General features: G+C 50.7%; 1 pseudogene, besides 2 other annotated features; it reads right to left on the reverse strand.

The window, feature by feature from the left end:
- LOC100420103 (uncharacterized) lies at positions 2,400-2,956 on the reverse strand (annotated as a pseudogene).
- Positions 10,162-11,013: an enhancer, noted in NCBI's record as "H3K4me1 hESC enhancer chr22:19654543-19655394 (GRCh37/hg19 assembly coordinates)". NCBI's record gives its function as "activates a minimal SCP1, AML or CMV promoter by ChIP-STARR-seq in naive and primed H9 embryonic stem cells {active_cell/tissue: H9 hESC(naive and primed)}" and the evidence as "EXISTENCE:reporter gene assay evidence [ECO:0000049][PMID:30033119]".
- Positions 11,014-11,863: an enhancer, noted in NCBI's record as "H3K4me1 hESC enhancer chr22:19655395-19656244 (GRCh37/hg19 assembly coordinates)". NCBI's record gives its function as "activates a minimal SCP1, AML or CMV promoter by ChIP-STARR-seq in primed H9 embryonic stem cells {active_cell/tissue: H9 hESC(primed)}" and the evidence as "EXISTENCE:reporter gene assay evidence [ECO:0000049][PMID:30033119]".

Here is a 17,159-nt window from a genome sequence, read left to right on the forward strand (position 1 = left end):
GCAACTCGCCACCCATTCTTCCCAGAAAGAGGGCAGGTGCATGGGGGCACACCCCCTACAGGTGGACATAAGGCCCCAGTGGACACCGAGGCCACGGGAAAACATCAGGCCACAAATAGACACTGGACATCAGACACCAGGTTGACACCAGGACCTGGGTGGACACCAGGTCTCAAGGGGCCTCCAGTCCCTGCACAGACATCAGGCCCCAAATGGACAAATCAGGTCACAGTTTGGCACATAGGCAGGCCCCAGGTGGACACCAGGCCACAGGTACATAACAGGCCCCAGGCCAAAACCAGGTCCCAGAAGGACATCAGACATCTTAGTGTATGTCAGGTCCCAGGTTGACATATAGGCCCCAGTGGAACACCAGGCCCCACTTGCCAGTTTCCAAGTGGATATCCAGACCCCAGGTAAATATCAGCGTCAAGGTGAACAGGAGGCCCCAGGTGGACAACAGGCCTCAGCTAGATGCCTAGGCCCCTGGTGAACTCCAGCCCCCTGATGAACATTAGGCCCCAGGTGGACACCCTGGCCCCACGGGAACATCTAGTTCCAGGTGGACATCAGACCCAAGGTAAATACCCATCCCCAGGTAAACGCCAGACCCCAGGCAGATTACAGGTCCCAGAAAAACACCCAGGTCCCATGAAGAAATCAGACCCTAGGTGAACTCTGGTCTGCAGGGGGACATGAGGCTGGGTATCCACCTGGGACCTGGTGTTCATGGGGTGGGGGCCGATGTCCACCTTGGGCCTGTTGTTCATCTGTGGCCTGGTATTCACCTGGGCCCTGAGAGTCAACCTGGTGCCTGATAGCCACCTGGGGCCTACATAGCCACCTGGGGGCCTGGTGGTCACTTGAAGCCTGGTGTCCTCCTGGGGCCTGTTACCAACATGCGGTGTAGGTATCCACCAGGGGCCTGATGTCCACCTGAGGTCTGGGGTTCACCTGGAGCCTTGGTGTCACCCTGGGGACTAATGTCCACCTGGAGCGTGGTATCCATCTAAAGCCTGTGGTCTGCCTGGGGCATTATTATGTCCCTTGAAGACTAAGTATCCAACTAGGGCCTGATTTTCACATGAGGCCTGGGTATCTGCCCGAAGCCTTGGTATCCTCCTTGGGCCTGAAGTCCATCTGTGACATTCTGTCCAGCTAGGGCCTGGGTGTGAACCTGGTGCCTGATGTACGCCTCAAGTCCAGCGTGCACCCACCTGGGACGTGATGGCCACCTGAGGCCATATATCCACATGGAGCCAGGGTGTCCACTTGGGGCCTAATGTTCACCAGGAACATAAGTATCCACCTGGGGCCTCATGTCTTCCTGGGGCCTGGGTGTCAATGTGGGGCGTGGGCATCCACCTGGGGGCTGATGTCCACTTGGAGCCTGGTGTCTACCTGGAACCAATTTTTCAACTGGGAACCTGATGTCCACCTGGTGCCTGATGTCCATTTGGAAACTGGAGTCCACCTGGGAACTGGCATACACCTAAGACATAGTGTTGAGCCGGTGTTTGATGTCCAATGTTCACCAGGCTCCAGGTGGACACCGGGCCTCAGGTTGACACCCAGACTCCAGGTGGACACCAGGCCCCAGATGAATGCCAGGTCCCCGGTGAACATCCAGGCCCCAAGTGGAAACCAAAACCTCAGATGTCTAGGCATTAGACCCCATGTGGACATCCAGGCCCCAGGAAGTCATCAGGCCCCAGTGGACACTCAGGCCCCAGGTGGACATGGAGTCCCAGGTTGACACCCAGGCCTCCAGTGAACAGCAGGCCAAGGAGAATTCCAGGCCCAGCAGGCCCCAGGTGGACAGCAGGATCCAGGTGGACACAAGGCCCCCAGATGGATACATAAGACCCTGGTGAACATCAGGCTCCACATGGACACCCAGGCCCTAGAAGAACACCAGGCCTCGCGAGGATACGAAAATTCAAATAAACACTAGGCCCCAGGCTGAAATCAGTTCCAAGGAGGACACTAGACCTCAAGTGACAACCTGGCCCCAGGTGGCTATGTGGGCCCCAGCTGGACGGCAGGTACCAGAATTGACATCCAGGGCCCAGGTAAACACCAGGCCCCAGAAGGATAACAGGCACAAGGTAGACATAGGCCCCAGGTGCACACCAGATCCCACGTGGATATCTAGGACCCAGGTGAACAACAGGCCCAAGGTGAGAATCCGGTCTCCAGGAGGGCACCAAGGCCCAGGCAGACACCAGGTCCTAAGAGGACACCAGGATACAAATGGACACCAGGCCTCGGGTGGACACCAGGCTCCAAGTGGACATCAGCCCCCAGGTGGGTATCTGGCCCCAGGTGAACACCCAGTCTCAAGGTAGACACCAGGCCTTAGGTAGACAGTAGCCACTGGGTGAACACTGTGCCCCAGGTGGACACCAGGTCTCAAGTAGACACCCAGTCCCCAGGTGGGCACCAGAGACCAGGCAGCCTGATGAGTCCCCAGGTGGGCACCAGAGACCGGGCAGCCTGATGAGGCTCCAGGTGGACACCAGAGACCAGGAAGCCTGATGAGGCTCCAGGTGGACACCAGGCTGCAGGTGGTACCAGGCTCCCAGCTGATACCCAGGCCCCAGGGGAACACCCAGGCCCCAGGTAGACAGCAGGAAGCCAGTGCACCCTAGGCACCCAGGTAGATACTAGGCCCCTGGTGAACATCGGGCCTCAGCTGGACACCCAGGCCCCAGGGAAACACCCAGGCCCCATATGTCAGGTTGTTAGGTCCCATATGGACAATCAGGCCCCAAGAAGTCATCAGGCCCTGGTAGACACTGAGACCCCAGGTGACTATCCAGTCCCAGGCTGACACACAGGCCTCAGGTGGACACCGGGCCCTAGGAGAACTCCAGGCCCCAGCTGAAGATCAATGCCCCGGGTGGACACCCAGGCCCTAGCTAACGACCAGTCCCCAGGATTCCATCAGGCCCCAGGTGGATACTAAACTCTCGGTGGACATCAGCAAATGCCCAGGTCCCAGGTCAAAACCAGGCCCCTGATGGACCCCCTGACCCCAGGTAAACATGAGGTTTCAGGTGGACACGTGACTCTAACTGGATATCAGGCCCCGGGTGGACACCCAACCCCATACGGATACCTAAACCCCCGATGAACATCAAGTCTCGGGTGCACCTCTAGGTCCCAAGTAAACACCTAGGCCTCAGAAGTCCAGACATCGGGCCCCATGTGGAAATCCGGGTCCCAGGAACTCCTCAGGCACCAGGAAACACTCAGGCCTCGGTTGGATATCTGGCCCCAAGTTGACACCCAGGCCTCAGGTGGACACCAGGCGCTAAGAAAACGTCAGGCCCCAGCTGAGATCAACCCCTGGGTGGTCAGTACTGGCGCATGCTAAAACATGTATGAGCCTTAAAAACATCATGCTAAGTGAAAGAAGCCAGGCACAAAAAGCCACATAGTTTGTCATTCCATTTACATGAATGTCTAGAATAGGCAGATCCACAAGAGACAGAAAGTGGGTTAGTGGTTGCCAGAAGCTGGAGACAGGGGAGAACGGCGAGTGACTGCTAATGGGTACGGAACATTATTGGGAGGTGATGAAAATATTCTGGAATTACATAGTTTATGATGTGGCATAACATTTAAAATATGCTAACAACGACTGAATTGTACGCTTTAAAAAGGTGAGTCTTTTTCTTTTTTTGAGATGGATTCTCACTCTGTCGCCCAGGCTAGAGGGCAGTGGCCCGATCTCGGCTCACTGCAACCTCTGCCTCCTGGGTTCAAGCAATTCGCTGCCTCAGCCTCTCGAGCAGCTGGGATTATAGGCGCCCGCAGCCACACCTGGCTAAGTTTTGTGTTTTTAGTAGAGACAGGGTTTCACCATGTTGCCCAGGCTGGTCTCAATCTCTTGACCTCATGATCCACCCGCCTCGGCCTCCCAAAATGCTGGGATTACCAGCGTGAGCCACCGTGCATGGCCAAAAAGGTAAATCTCATAGCATGTAAATTACATGTCATTAAACACACACACACACACACACACACACACATGAGGTGGGTGTGGTGGCTCAGGCCTGTAATCCCAGTACTTTCGGAGGCCAAGGCGAGAGGATAGCTTGAGCCCAGGAGTTTGTGACAAGCCTGATCAACAGAGCAAGACCCTATCTCTACAAAATAAAAATTAAAAAAAAAATTAGCTGGGTATGGTGGCATGCACCTGTAGTCCTGGCTGCTTGGTAAGGCTGAGGCAGGAGGATCGCTTGAACCCAAAATCTGAGGCTGTAGTGAGCTATTATTACACCACTACACTCCAGCTTAGGTGACAGAGGAAGACTCCATCTCTTAAAAAACAAAAAAACAAAAAAAAAAAACTAATAAAATAAAAACATGAAATCCAAACCAAAAAGAGATGAGAGGGGAGGTAGGCAGAGAGAGACAGAGGGAGAGAGAGACCAGGAGAGAGCCAGGGAGAGAGGAAGGGAGAGAGGCTTGGACTGAGTGTCTGAGTCTCCATACAGACAGTCAGATCACTGGTATGTTGTGGGGGTGCAGTTGGGGAAATGAGGAAACTCCAGGCATCAGGGGGCCCCATTTGAGATGTACCATCCAGAGTGTGAGAATTCTAATGAGTAGGCAGGGGCCATAAGGACCATTTTCTTCCTCCCTCCCTTCCTTCCTTCCTTCCTTCCTTCCTTCCTTCCTTCCTTCCTTCCTTCCTTCTTCCCTCCCTCCCGCCCTCCCTTCTTTCCTTCCTTTTTCGTTTTTGAAATAGGGTCTCACTCTGTCACCCAAGCTGGAGTGCAGTGACACAATCATAGCTCACTGCTGCCTCGAACTCCTTGGCTAAAGCAATCCTCCCACCTTAGCCTCCTGAGGAGCTAGGACTACAGGCATGCACCACCACACCCAATTAATTTAAAAAAATTTAATAGAGATGGGGTCTTGCCGTGTTCCAGGCTGGTCTTGAGCTCCTGGACTCAAGTGATCCTCCCACCTCAGCCTCCCAAAGAGCCAGGATTGTAGGCATGAGCCACCGTGTCCAGCCTCTTTATAAATAAAAGATCAGTGACACAGAAAATGGTTTGGTTAAAATACTTTATATTTCTTCCTAAACTCTTCTTCCAAAGTAAAATAAATATATTTTCAGTTATAAGTAAATTTGCTGGAATGTTTTTCCACCTGCTGGGGCAAAGGTCCTCCCCTTCCACCCCTGCCTGCTGCCCCCGGTCCTGTCGAGGGGCAGATTTCCTCCCTCACAGGGCAGACAAGCCACATCGGGGCAGTGTCTGCCGCTGCTTCCGAACTCCCTGCTCACGGACTGGGAGCGGGGCCTCTGGCCCCTGAGTGAGCTGGGGCAACAGACTTCAGAATGTCGCAGCCCGAGGGAGAGTCACCTGGAGAGCCACTGGGGAGACGCTGATGTGGGCTGATGCTGGATGATGGAAAACACTGTGTTTCGTGTTTTTTATTTTGTCAGGTGTGATGACAGTATAATGGGATGATATGTTAAAATTCTTTTTTTTTTTTTTGAGACGAAGTCTAGCTCTTGTCCCCCAGGCTGGAGTGCAATGGCACGATCTCGGCTCACTGCAACCTCTGCCTCCCAGGTTCAAGGGATTCTCCTGCCTCGGCCTCCGGAGTAGCTGGGATTACAGGCGCCTGCCACCATGCCCGGCTAATTTTTGTATTTTTAGTAGAGACGGGGCTTCACCATGTTGGCCAGGCTGGTCTTGAACTCCTGACCTCAGGTGATCATCCTGCCTCGGCCTCCCAAAGCACTGGGATTACAGGCGTGAGCCACCGCACCTGGCCTAAAATTCTTATCTTTTCATGTATCTCAAAATATTTAGGGATCAAATGTGTCTGGGCCATGCTGGAAATACTTTAGACAAAGAAAACAGGAGAGACAAAGCAGATAAAACAAAATGTTGATAATTTTAAATCTAGCTGATGGGTATATGGGGGTTCCATTTAATATTTTCTCTCCTACTCATATACGTGTGTTTGTGTGTATGTGTGTGTATGCCTTTCAAAATTCTCATTGAAAAGTGGCTGATCGGAAGTGCACCCTCAAAGATGTTTTCCCCTTTTCTCCACTAACTCACTTTTTTTTTTTTTTTTTTTTTTTTTTTTGAGACCAAATCTTGCTCTGTCACCCAGGCTGGAGTGCAATGGTGTGATCTTGGCTCACTGCAACCTCTGCCTCCCGGGTTCGAGCTATTTTCCTGCTTCAGCTTCCCGAGTAGCTGGGACTACAGGCATGCAGCACCATGCCCGGCTATTTTTTTTTTTTTTTTTTTTTTGTATTTTTAGCAGAGACAGAATTTTGCCATGTTGGCCAGGCTGGTCTCAAACTCCTGACCTCAAGTGATCCGCCCGCCTCGGCCTCCCAAAGTGCTGGGATTACAGGTGTGAGCCATCAATGCCTGGCCCACTAACTCACTTCTAAATGATCTTGTTCTCTTTGAACAGAAATAAAGGATATTATGATCTTACCACTTTATAAATTAGAATGATGAAATTGAGAAAAACTAGAGATGACTAAGATGAAGACAGACATGAAATCGTGCCAAAAAGTGCCCATGCTGTATCCAGCAGCTGCTGCAGCCACAGAAATGCTCGAGTTGTCAGCGAGGGTACTCACTGCTTGATCATCTAGCATTGCCAGATACTGTAAACCGCCGCACACCTATCAGCAGGGCACTGGCTACATCACACAGATTGCTGTGCCATGGTTTAAGGTCACATTGCAGCAGAGCAGGAAGCATGTGGCTGGGAGTGGCACGGGGCCAGCTTTCAGGATGTATGGTCTGGACTGAGCTGCAGTCCTTGGGGCCTGGACAGCTGCTCTGGCCCTGAGCCCTCCTCCCCTCCCTGTGGTCTCTCCCTTTCCATCTCTCTCTGCTACATAGCCTCCCTTCCCTCTCTCTGCTCTATTCTCCTTCCCCCATCCCCTTTCCCCTCACCCCCAGGTCAATTTTCTTAGATATCTCCAGGCCCAAGTTTGGAGGTTCCCAATTAGGGTGCAGGCTGGCCCTCAGGTGCGTGGGGGTCCACCTTGTCCAGCCATGGCTGGCCCCAGTGCTACGTCACAATGTAGGGACTGAGAGTGGATGCGGTGGAGGTGGGCATTTACCACACTGTAAGGGATCAGTCAGTACAGACCAGGAGCAGGCCGAATAGTCAGTACCCGTGCAGTTCCGGAAAACCCACTCGTTTTGTGAAGAGCGTCTGCCAGCTCCTGCATCTGCTAGGGCCCTGCTGTGCCTCCTCCCCTCTCCTGCCCCCTGGGACTCCGCCTCCCTCCCCTGCTTTCTTTTCTCCTGGCGCTTGTCCCCATCCCACGCTCCACCGCGGGATATAGCAATGACTTATTTGTGTATTGAGGTCAGTAGATCTCCTCTCTATGAAGACAGGTCCCTCAGGGACAGGGCTGTCTGTGCTGGTGGCCGCAGCAGCCCAGCCCCTACAGCCTGCCCCACATGGTAGACAGGCAGCTATTTGCTGAGTAAATGAAGGGGTCAGGGGATCGCTAATAATTTTCATTTTATGTTTTATGCTTTCCTTTTGGTTTCAACTGTTCTGTAAAGAAGACATTTTATACTAGAAAATAATATTGCTTTAAAATGTAAATGTGCATGGAGCAACAGGAACTCTCTCATTCATTACTGGTGGGAATAGAAAGTGGTCCAGCTATTTTGGAAGACGGTTTGGCAGTTTTTTACAAAACAAAACATACTTTTACTATACAATCCAGCAATCACACTCCTTGGCATTGGCCCAGATGAATGGAAAACTTAAGTCCACACAAAAACCTGCGCATGGATGTTTATAGCAGCTTTATTTATAATTTTGTCAAAACTTGATAGCAACCAAGATGTTCTTCAGTGGGTGGGTGGATAAATAAACTGTGGCACATCCAGACAACAGAATATTATTCAGTGCTAAAGAGAAATGAGCTATCAAGCCATGAAAAGCCTTGGAGGAAGCTTAAATGCATATTACTAATTGGAAGACTCCAGTCTGAAAAGGCTACGTACTGTACAATGCCAACTCTATGACAGTCTGGAAACAGCAAAACCATGGAGACAGTAAAAAGATCAGTGACCCCCCGCCAGGTTCAATGGCTCACTCCTGTAATCCCAACACTTTGAGAGGCCGAGGCAGGTGGATTGCTTGAGCCCAGGAGTTCAAGACCAGCCTGGACAACATGGTAAAACCCTATCTTCTCTACTAAAAACACAAAAATTAGCCTGGCGTGGTGGGGGGTGCCTGTAATCCCAGCTACTCTGCAGGCTGAGGCACGACAATTGCTTGAACCCAGGAGGTGGAGGTTGCAGTGAGCCGAGATCATGCCACTGCGCTCTAGCCTGGGCGACAGAGCGAGACTCTGTCTAGAAAAAAAAAAAATCAGTGGCTCTCATAAAAACATCAGTGGCTCCCAGGGGTTGTAGAAGGGAGGTGAACATGTGGAGCAGGAAGGGCTTTCCGGGCAGTGAAACCGCTCTGTATGATTCTATAATGGCGGACACGTCATTATGCATTTGTCCGAATTCTCACGAAGTGCAGCATCCGGAATGAACCCTAGTGTGCACTGTGGACTCTGGGGGATAGGCTGTGTTTACCTAGGTTCTTGGACTTAACAAGTGCACCCCTCTGTGGGGTGCTGACGGGGGAGGCTGTGCCTGTTGGAGCGGAACATATGGCACATCTCTGTAACTTCTGCTCAGTTTTGCTATGAACCTAAAACACCTCTAAAAGCTAAAGTCTATTAAAACATTTTAAAAAGTAGATTTCAGGCTCAGTGAGGTGGGAGAGGGCGGTGGGGGTGTTCCCAGGCACAGAGGGAGCAGGCACACCCTGCCCTCGCACCCTGGGAGAAGCTGGGCTGGCTGAACTTGGGGAGGCCTGGCCCTGGGACCTGCAGGTAGCCTCTGGAATGCGGACGTGCAGGCTGACCCTGATGGTCCTGTGAATGCCAACCAACCTGCCACTCCTGGGCTCCCTGGCACAGTCACCACAAGTGTCACCCCAGGTCACTCGCAGATGCACCCTTATCTCCAGACCAGCTGGAGACCTGGCCTGAAGCTGAGGGTTGGCGGCAGGAGAATGGCCCAGGCAAAAGTTCTCCTCCTAAAGTTGCTTTGGAAGGAGGGCCGGGGAGGGCCCTCCCGGACCCTGGAAGCATGAAGACCTCCCCACTGGAGTGAAGACAGGGAGAGAGCCAGGCGTGGCAGGCACAGCCAGGGTGCGCACAGAGGATGGCTGCCCGGGGCTTAGCATCTGCTCACCTCATGAGGTTGGCACTGCTGCCTAGACAACCCATGTAATACCCCAGGCCTCACCATTTTGGATTGAGAGATGAGCTCAGCGTCCCCTCACAGGGCTCTGGAGGGTTTAGCAAAAGGCTGCGGTGAAAGTCACCCGGTCCACGGCTGTCTCTGCCACCTGGGACTCTCTGCTTCCTTTGCCTGTGACTCTGCAGCCACTTGGCCCGGCCCCCAGTGCTGGGCACCCCTCTAGATGAGCGATTTGCCTTCCTCTCCGGGTACAGATGATGAAGGGGCCTCTCCCGGTGTCCTGGGTATTTCTGGCAACCAAATGGCCCCTGCCCAGGCAAGAGTCCCGCTAGGAATCAGCACAGCCTGCTTGGGCTGAGTTCGTGGGTGGAGGGCATGAGCTTCCGAGAAGCCCCTGCAGGCGCCAAGCTGGGGGGCCACCAAGCCCGTTTTCCGCCGTGGCTGCCTGGGTGCAGCGGCAATGCCTGTGGCGTGGGCTGCTGGCCTGGCCTGTGGGGCAGCTGCAAGTTTCCCTTTTAATGGAAATCTCTCTCTTGCAGCCATACATTGTGTTTGACTCGAGTGTGTTTTTCTTGGCTTTAAGAAACAGGATTAGTTGCACTCTTTGTAATTTTTGGTATTAAAGGTATTTTTAACAAATGCAGTCTGTATCGTGGGAACATCCTGAAGTTCCTGGAATGTCTGTAGTCTAAAGTCAAGCCTGTTCCCACCCCTGGCCTTCCTCTTTAAAGGCTTGATGTTGTTCGATGGGATGTCTATTTTTGTTCATTTAGGTTTCAAATTGAAGCGTGACTAGCACTGGGAAATTGGCATTCCCCTGCAGTCAGCTCTTCTTCCTCCAGCCCCAGATGTGGGACGGTAGAGCAGAGGGGCAAAAGGATCGGACGGCACTGTGTGCTCTAGGCAGGGACAGCTGAGGGGCCAATGCCCTGCCCCTCCCAGCCAGAGGAGGATGCCCCCATCTGTTCACTGCACCCTCCAGTGGGAAACGAGCAAAACAAGAGGCAATGCATTTGCAGTCACTACAGTAGGAAGAGGTATTCGCTTTCCACCAGTAAGTGACAAATCACTCATAAGGGAGTGCTGGGAAGGGAAGAGCATGATCCCTTTAAATGATACCAAGTGGGGAAAGGAAGTGCTGGGTAGAGGAGGTCGTGGTCCCTGGCTAGGGCTCCACCCCCACGGACCTAGGTGAGGACAGGCATTTTTGTTTGCCTGCCCAAATGTTGCATTTCCCAAGACCACCCTGGCCTGCCATGCCCCTGTCCTGTGCCTGTAAAATCCCCTGACATTCTAACAGGCAGACACACAACAGGCTGGATGTGGAGAGAAGCGGATCGGCGGAAGAAGACACAAGCGGCTGGACGTCAAGGGGAGCACGCTGGCGGAAGAGCACAGCGACAGAAGAGCACACTGACAGACGTCGGCAGGCCACCCACCCTGGCAGAATGACACAGGGTTTGGCTAGGGCAGTCAGAAGAGAGCCTGGGCCGCTGAGCGCCCGACTCCAGGGGAAAACCATCTCTTGTCTGGCTCCCCCATCTACTGAGAGCTACTTCCACTCAATAAAACCTTGCACCCATTCTCCAAGTCCAGGCGTGATCTGATTCTTCTGGTACACCAAGGCAAGAACCCAGATACAGAAAGCCCTTTGGCCTTACAACAAGGTAGACGGTCTAATTGAGCTGGTTAACACAAGCTGCCGATAGAGCACCCTGTAACACATGCCCACTGGGGCTTCAAAAACTGTAAACATTCACCCCTAGACACTGCTGTGGGGTCGGAGCCCCACAGCCTGCCTGTCTGTATGCTCCCCTCGAGGTCTGAGCAGTGGGGCACTGAAGAAGCGAGCTACACCCCCATCGCACGCCCTGCGAGGGGATCAAAGAAACTCTTCCCATTTCATCACCACCAACAGCAGCTTGAGATGACACCCATTTGCAGCCTCACAGTTCCACGAGGCAGGAACTTGAATGTGGCTTAGCTGGATGCTCTGCTTCTGGGTGTCTCCCGAGGCTGCAGTCAAGGTGTCTGCCAGGGCGGTGGTCTCATCCAAGGCTTTGCTGGGTGGGGCTGCCCATCCAAGCTCACTCATGTGCTCTTTGGCAGGACCCAGTTTCTCTGGCTGCTGGACCAAGGCCCCAGCTCTCGGCTGTCTCTCGGCTGGAGGCCGACTTTTGTTCCTTGCTGCATAAGCCTTCCATAGTGGCAGCTTCCTGCACCAAAGCCAGCAAGGGTAAGATTCTAGTCTTTTGTAGTCTAATCACAGTGTGACATCCTCAATGTCGCTGCGTTCTGTTAGAAGGAAGTTACTCAAGGGGTGAATACAAGACCATGCCTTCCATGAGGCAGGATCGTGGGGCCACCTCAGACACTGTCTGCCACAGAAGCGTGTAGAAACGATCCACCCCTTGCTCATATGTGCATTCACCAGAAGGTGCTTTGGCCCCTGGTCCAGAGCGGGAGCACCAGGGTGAGGCTCTGACCCCCTGCAATCCTTTCAACTCTCCCATCCCTCCATCTCCTCCTCTTTAGAACGGGGGTGATGGAATCCACTGTGCAGTTTTGTAATGTTTTTAAATTAGAGGTTGTATTGGGCCATTCTTGCATTGTTACAAAGAAATACCTGAAACTGGATAATTTATAAAGAAAAAAGCTTTACTTGGCTCACGGTTCTGCAGGCTGTACGGGAAGCATAGCAGCATCTGCCTTTGAGGAGGCCTCAAGAAAACTTCCAGTCTTTGTGGAAGGTGAACGGGCCGCAGGCACAGCGCATGGTGAAAGCAGGAGCTGCGGTCGCGGGGGCGGGGGATGCCACACACTTGAAAATGACCAGATCCATAAGAACCCGCTCACTATTGCCAGGACAGCACCAAGAGCATAGTGCTAAACTATTCATGAGAAAACCACCCCCATGAGCCAATCACCTCCCACCAGACCTCACCTCCAACACTAGGGATTACATTTCAACATGAGATCTGGGGAGAGCCACACATCCAAACTATATCAGATGGGATGAGAAATAATGAAGAGCTGGCCTTGGCATTTTGCTCATAGTGGGAACCCAGAAATCCTTGAATGAATGAATGAGTTTCCTGTTGACACAATATAAGTGCTATGATACAAATGTATGTGTCCCTCCCAAAGTTCACATGCTGAAACATAACCCCAAGTTGATGCTATTAAGAGGTTGGGCCTATGGAAGTTGATGGCCATGGGGGCAGAGTGTCCTTATAAAAGACGCTCCAGAGAGCTTGTTCAGCCCTTCTGCCATGTGAGGATGCAGCCAATAAGGCTGCTTGGAGGCAGAGAGCAAGCAAGACTCACCAGATACAAAACCTGCCAGTGTCTTGATCTTGGACTTTTCAGCCACCAGAACCATAAGCAAAAAACTTCTGTTGTTTATAAACTATCCAGTCTCAGGTATTTTGTTTTATTAGCAGCTGGACAGCCCAAGGCAGGGACAAAGCCCCATTTGGAGACTTTGGCAGCAAGAAATACATGAGAATTCCTTCAGAATATGTGGATTCCTGGGGAAGTGAAACCCAGCTCAGCCCCTAGGGAGTGCGGAAGGTCAGGCCTCTAGCTTGGACTTGGCCCTTTGTTCTAGAGAATTAGACACTCAACAAAGCTCCGCGGTGCTCACAGCTGAGGCTGGAGAAGGGACAACCCAGATGAGGAAGGAACAACATATTTTTTTTTCTGGCTTCTACTTTATTTTATTTTGAGACACAGTCTCACTCTGTCACCCACGCTGGAGTGCAGTGGTGTGATCTTAGCTCACTATAGCCTCTCTCTGCCTCCCAGGCTCAAGCAATCCTCCTGCTTCAGCCTCCCAAGTAGCTGGGACTACAGGCCAGTGCCACTACATCTGGCTAATTTTTAAACATTCTTTATGGAGATGGGGTTTCACCATGATGCCCGGGCTGGTCTCAAACTCCTGAACTCAAGTGATCCACCTGCCTCAGCCTCCCAAAGTGCTGTGATTAACAGGTGTGAGCCACTGCACCTGGCCTCTGTCTTCTATTTTAAAAAAGAAACTTTTATGTGGTTATAAAAGTGATGCTGGCTAGCAGGAAGACCCTAATGGAGAGGCTAGAAAGGAATGCAATCCCACTGCCCAGAGAGGCCGGCCTGGCTGTGCCAGAATCATAGAGTGGGGGTACACTTTCACCTGGCACAGCCAAGCCCACTCAGACCTGCCCAGTCAGAGCTGGGGCAGAGCTGGGCAGGAGGAGGTTGGAGACACCCCCTGAGTGATTCTGACAACCTCCTGGTTGCAAAGTGCCCTCTATGCAGCATCTCCCGTGGGTGAGGTCAGGCTCTTGGAGCAGTTTTCTTTGTCTGCTTTTCCCCATGCAGCATTATATCATCCACATTTTCCAGTGATGTTCTCTCCCTGTGACTCTCACACCTGTAATCCCAGCACTTTGAAAGGCTGAGGCAAGCAGATCACTTGAGGTCACGAGTTTGAGACCAGTCTGGGCAACATGGCGAAACCCCATCTCCATAAAAAATATTTAAAAATTAGCCAGGTGTGGTAGCACCGGGCTGTAGTCCCAGCTACTTGGGAGGCTGAAGCAGGAAGATTGCTTGAGCCCGGGAGACAGAGGCTATAGTGAGCTAAGATCACACCACTGTACTCCAGTCTGGGTGACAGAGTGAGACCGTGTCTCAACGTAAAATTCTCCAGGTGTTCTCCCAGCCCACAGCCCTCGTCAGGTTGGCATATGACATTGTAGGCCTTTTCTTCTGTGTTTCCATAATTACATATTTACGTGGCAATATAGTTTTGGATTGTTTTTTTCTCTTTATATAAATGGTATCATACCACAAGTGGCATCCTGTGTCTTACCAGTTTCCCACTGTGATATGTCTTGGTATTTTTTCCATGGTTGGACATGTCACTGACACATATTCTTTTCATTGCTTCTTGGTTTTGAGGTTCCAAGGTTCCGAGATTCCATAGTTCCAGGGTTAGATGGTTCCATGATTCACTGGTTCCAAGGCCCAAGGTTACATGGTTCAAAGGTTCCAAGGTACTATGGTTCCATGCTTCCAAGATGCAATGGATCCAAGGTTCCAAGGATTAATAGTTCCATGTTTCCAAAGTTCCTTGGCTCAAAGGTTCAATGTTATCATTGTTCCAAGGTTCCATGTTTCCAAGATTCAGTGGTTCCAAGGTTCTATGATTCCATGGTTCCAAAGATCAGTGATTTCACCGTTCCAAAGCTACATGGTTTCCTGGCTCCAAGGTACAATGGTTCCAAGGATCCAAAGTACCGTGGCTTCATAGTTCCAAGGTTCCAGGGTTCACTGGTCCCAAGGCCCAAAATTACATAGTTCAAAGGTTCCAAAGTACTGTGGTTTCATGCTTCTACGGTGCAATGGTTCCAAGGTTCCAAGGTTCAATGGTTCCATCCTTCCAAGATTCCAAGATTCCATTATCAAGGTTCAGTGTTACCATTGTTCCAAAGTTCCATGGTTTAATGGGTCCAAGATTCAATGGTTTCAATATTACAGAGTTCTAAAATTCAGTGGATCTGTGGTTCCAACTTTACAAGGTTGTAAGATTCAGTGGTGAATGGTTCCAAGGTTCCAAGTTTACAGGGTTTCAAGTTTACAGGGTTCTAAGGTTCTGTGGCTCTGTGATTACAAAGTTACATGGTTTCCTTGTTCCAAGATTACATGGTTCCAAGGTTCCAAGGTTTCTTGATTCCATGGCTCCAAGGTTCCATGTTTCCATACTTCCATATTTCAGTTGCTCCAAGGTTCCATGGTACCAAGGTTTCATGTTTCCCGGTTTCGAGGTTCAGTGGTTCTGTGGTTTCAAGACTCCACGGTTGCAAGGTTTCATGGTCCCATGGTCCAAGGTTCCAAGGCTCCAAGTTTCCAAGGTGCCATGGTTTCAGAGTTCATGGTATCAAGGTTTAGTGGTTCCTTGCTTCCCAGTTTCCCTGGTTTGTTGCTTCCAAGTTATCAACATTTCATTTTTCATTTGCCTCCACCTATTTGTAGACACTCAGATTGCATCCGGAGATTTTGCTCTTATCAACAACGCCACCACTATCAGCCTTGCTTTTTTTTTCCTTGTGCACATTTAGGAGTGTTCCTGAAGGGCAAAAATCAGGAGCAGAATTGCTGGATCCCAAGAAGTAATATGTGAAATTTAATCAATAGAGCCATATTGCCCTCTAATGCATCTGTATCAGTTGCAGTCTTCCAGCAGTGTATCTGAGTACCATTTGCTCGTCATCCTTGCTATGACACAATATTATCAAACTTTGGTAATCTTTTTTTTTTTTTTTTTTTGGAGACAGAATCTCACTGTGTTGACAGGCTGGGATGCAATGGTGGGATCTTGGCTCACTGCAACCTCCGCCTCCAGGTTCAAGCAATTCTCCTGCCTCAGCCTCCTGAGTAGCTGGGATTACAGTCACGTCCCACAAGGCCCGGGTACTTTTTGTATTTTTAATTGAGATAGGGTTTTGTCATGTTGGTCAGGCTGGTCTTGAATTCCTGGCCTCAAGTGATCTGCCCACCTTGGCCTCCCGAACTTCTGGGATTACAGGCATGAGCCACTGTGGCCGGCCAATCTTTGATAATCTGACGGATGACAAGAATATCTCATTGTAATTTTTGTTTCACTTGAGTTTGAACTCTTTTACAATATGTTTATTGACCACTTGTGTTTCATTGTTACCTGTGAATTGTCTGTTTTTATTATGTAGGTGGTCTTCTTGTTGCTATGTAAAGATTCTTTTTTTTCTTTCTTTTCTTTTTTTTTTTTTTGGGACAGAGTCTCGCTCTGTCTCCCAGGCTGGAGTGCAGGGGCAGGATCTCAGCTCACTGCAGCCTCTGCCTCTCGGGTTCCAGCGATTCTCCTGCCTCAGCCTCCTGAGTAGCTGGGATTACAGTTGCCTGCCACCACGCCTGACTAATTTTTGTACTTTTAGTAGAGATAGGGTTTCACCATGTTGGCCAGGCTGGTCTCAAACTCCTGACCTCAAGTAATCCGTCTGCCTCAGCCTCCCAAAGTGCTGGGATTACAGGCATAAGCCACCATGCCCAGCCATAAAGATTCTTTATGTGTTCTATTACCAATTCTTTGCCTTTGTTATACATGTTGCAAACATTTTCTCCCAGTCCATCATTTCTCTTGTAGCTCTGTTTTTGGTGAGTTTTATGTATTGCCTGATGTATCAGTATTTTCTCTCTGGGTTCAGAAACTTATGTATTGTATTCTCTACTTCACCAACAAAGTTTCCTGTTTTTTTCTTTTCTTTTATTTTTTTTGGATGGAGTCTCACTCCGTCACCCAGACTGGAATGCAGTGGCACAATCTCGGCTCACTGCAACCTCCACCTCCCAAGTTCAAGAGATTCTTCTGCCTCAGCCTCCCGAGTAGCTGGGATTACAGGTATGAGCCACCACACCTAGCTAATTTTTGTATTTTTAGTAGAGACGAGGTTTCACCGTATTGGCCAGGCTGGTCTCGAACTCCTGACCTCAAGTGATCTGCCCATATCAGCCTCCCAAAGTACTGGGATTACAGGCATCAGCCACCATGCCTGGCCTATTTTCTTCTTTTGTATCTCATCAGTATTGATGTCCACCAGCCAAAGACCATCTGTAGTCAACAAAGTTAAGTTTATTGCTTTGTTGCAAGTGAGCCTGCACATCTAAAGGAGTGGGTCTGGGGACAGAGTTAGTCATAGGATGTCCTGTCAGCGTTTGGACAGAGTTTGTTAACTGAGGGTCTTACTGGAACAACGATGAGTGGTCTTGTCTTTATGAGTTCGTTTTGTTTTGTTTTAGAGACAGGGTCTCACTCTGTTGCCCAGGCTGGAGTGTAGTGATGTGATCATAGCT

Source organism: Homo sapiens, chromosome 22 (assembly GCF_000001405.40).
Source record: "Homo sapiens chromosome 22, GRCh38.p14 Primary Assembly".
NCBI lineage: Eukaryota > Metazoa > Chordata > Mammalia > Primates > Hominidae > Homo > Homo sapiens.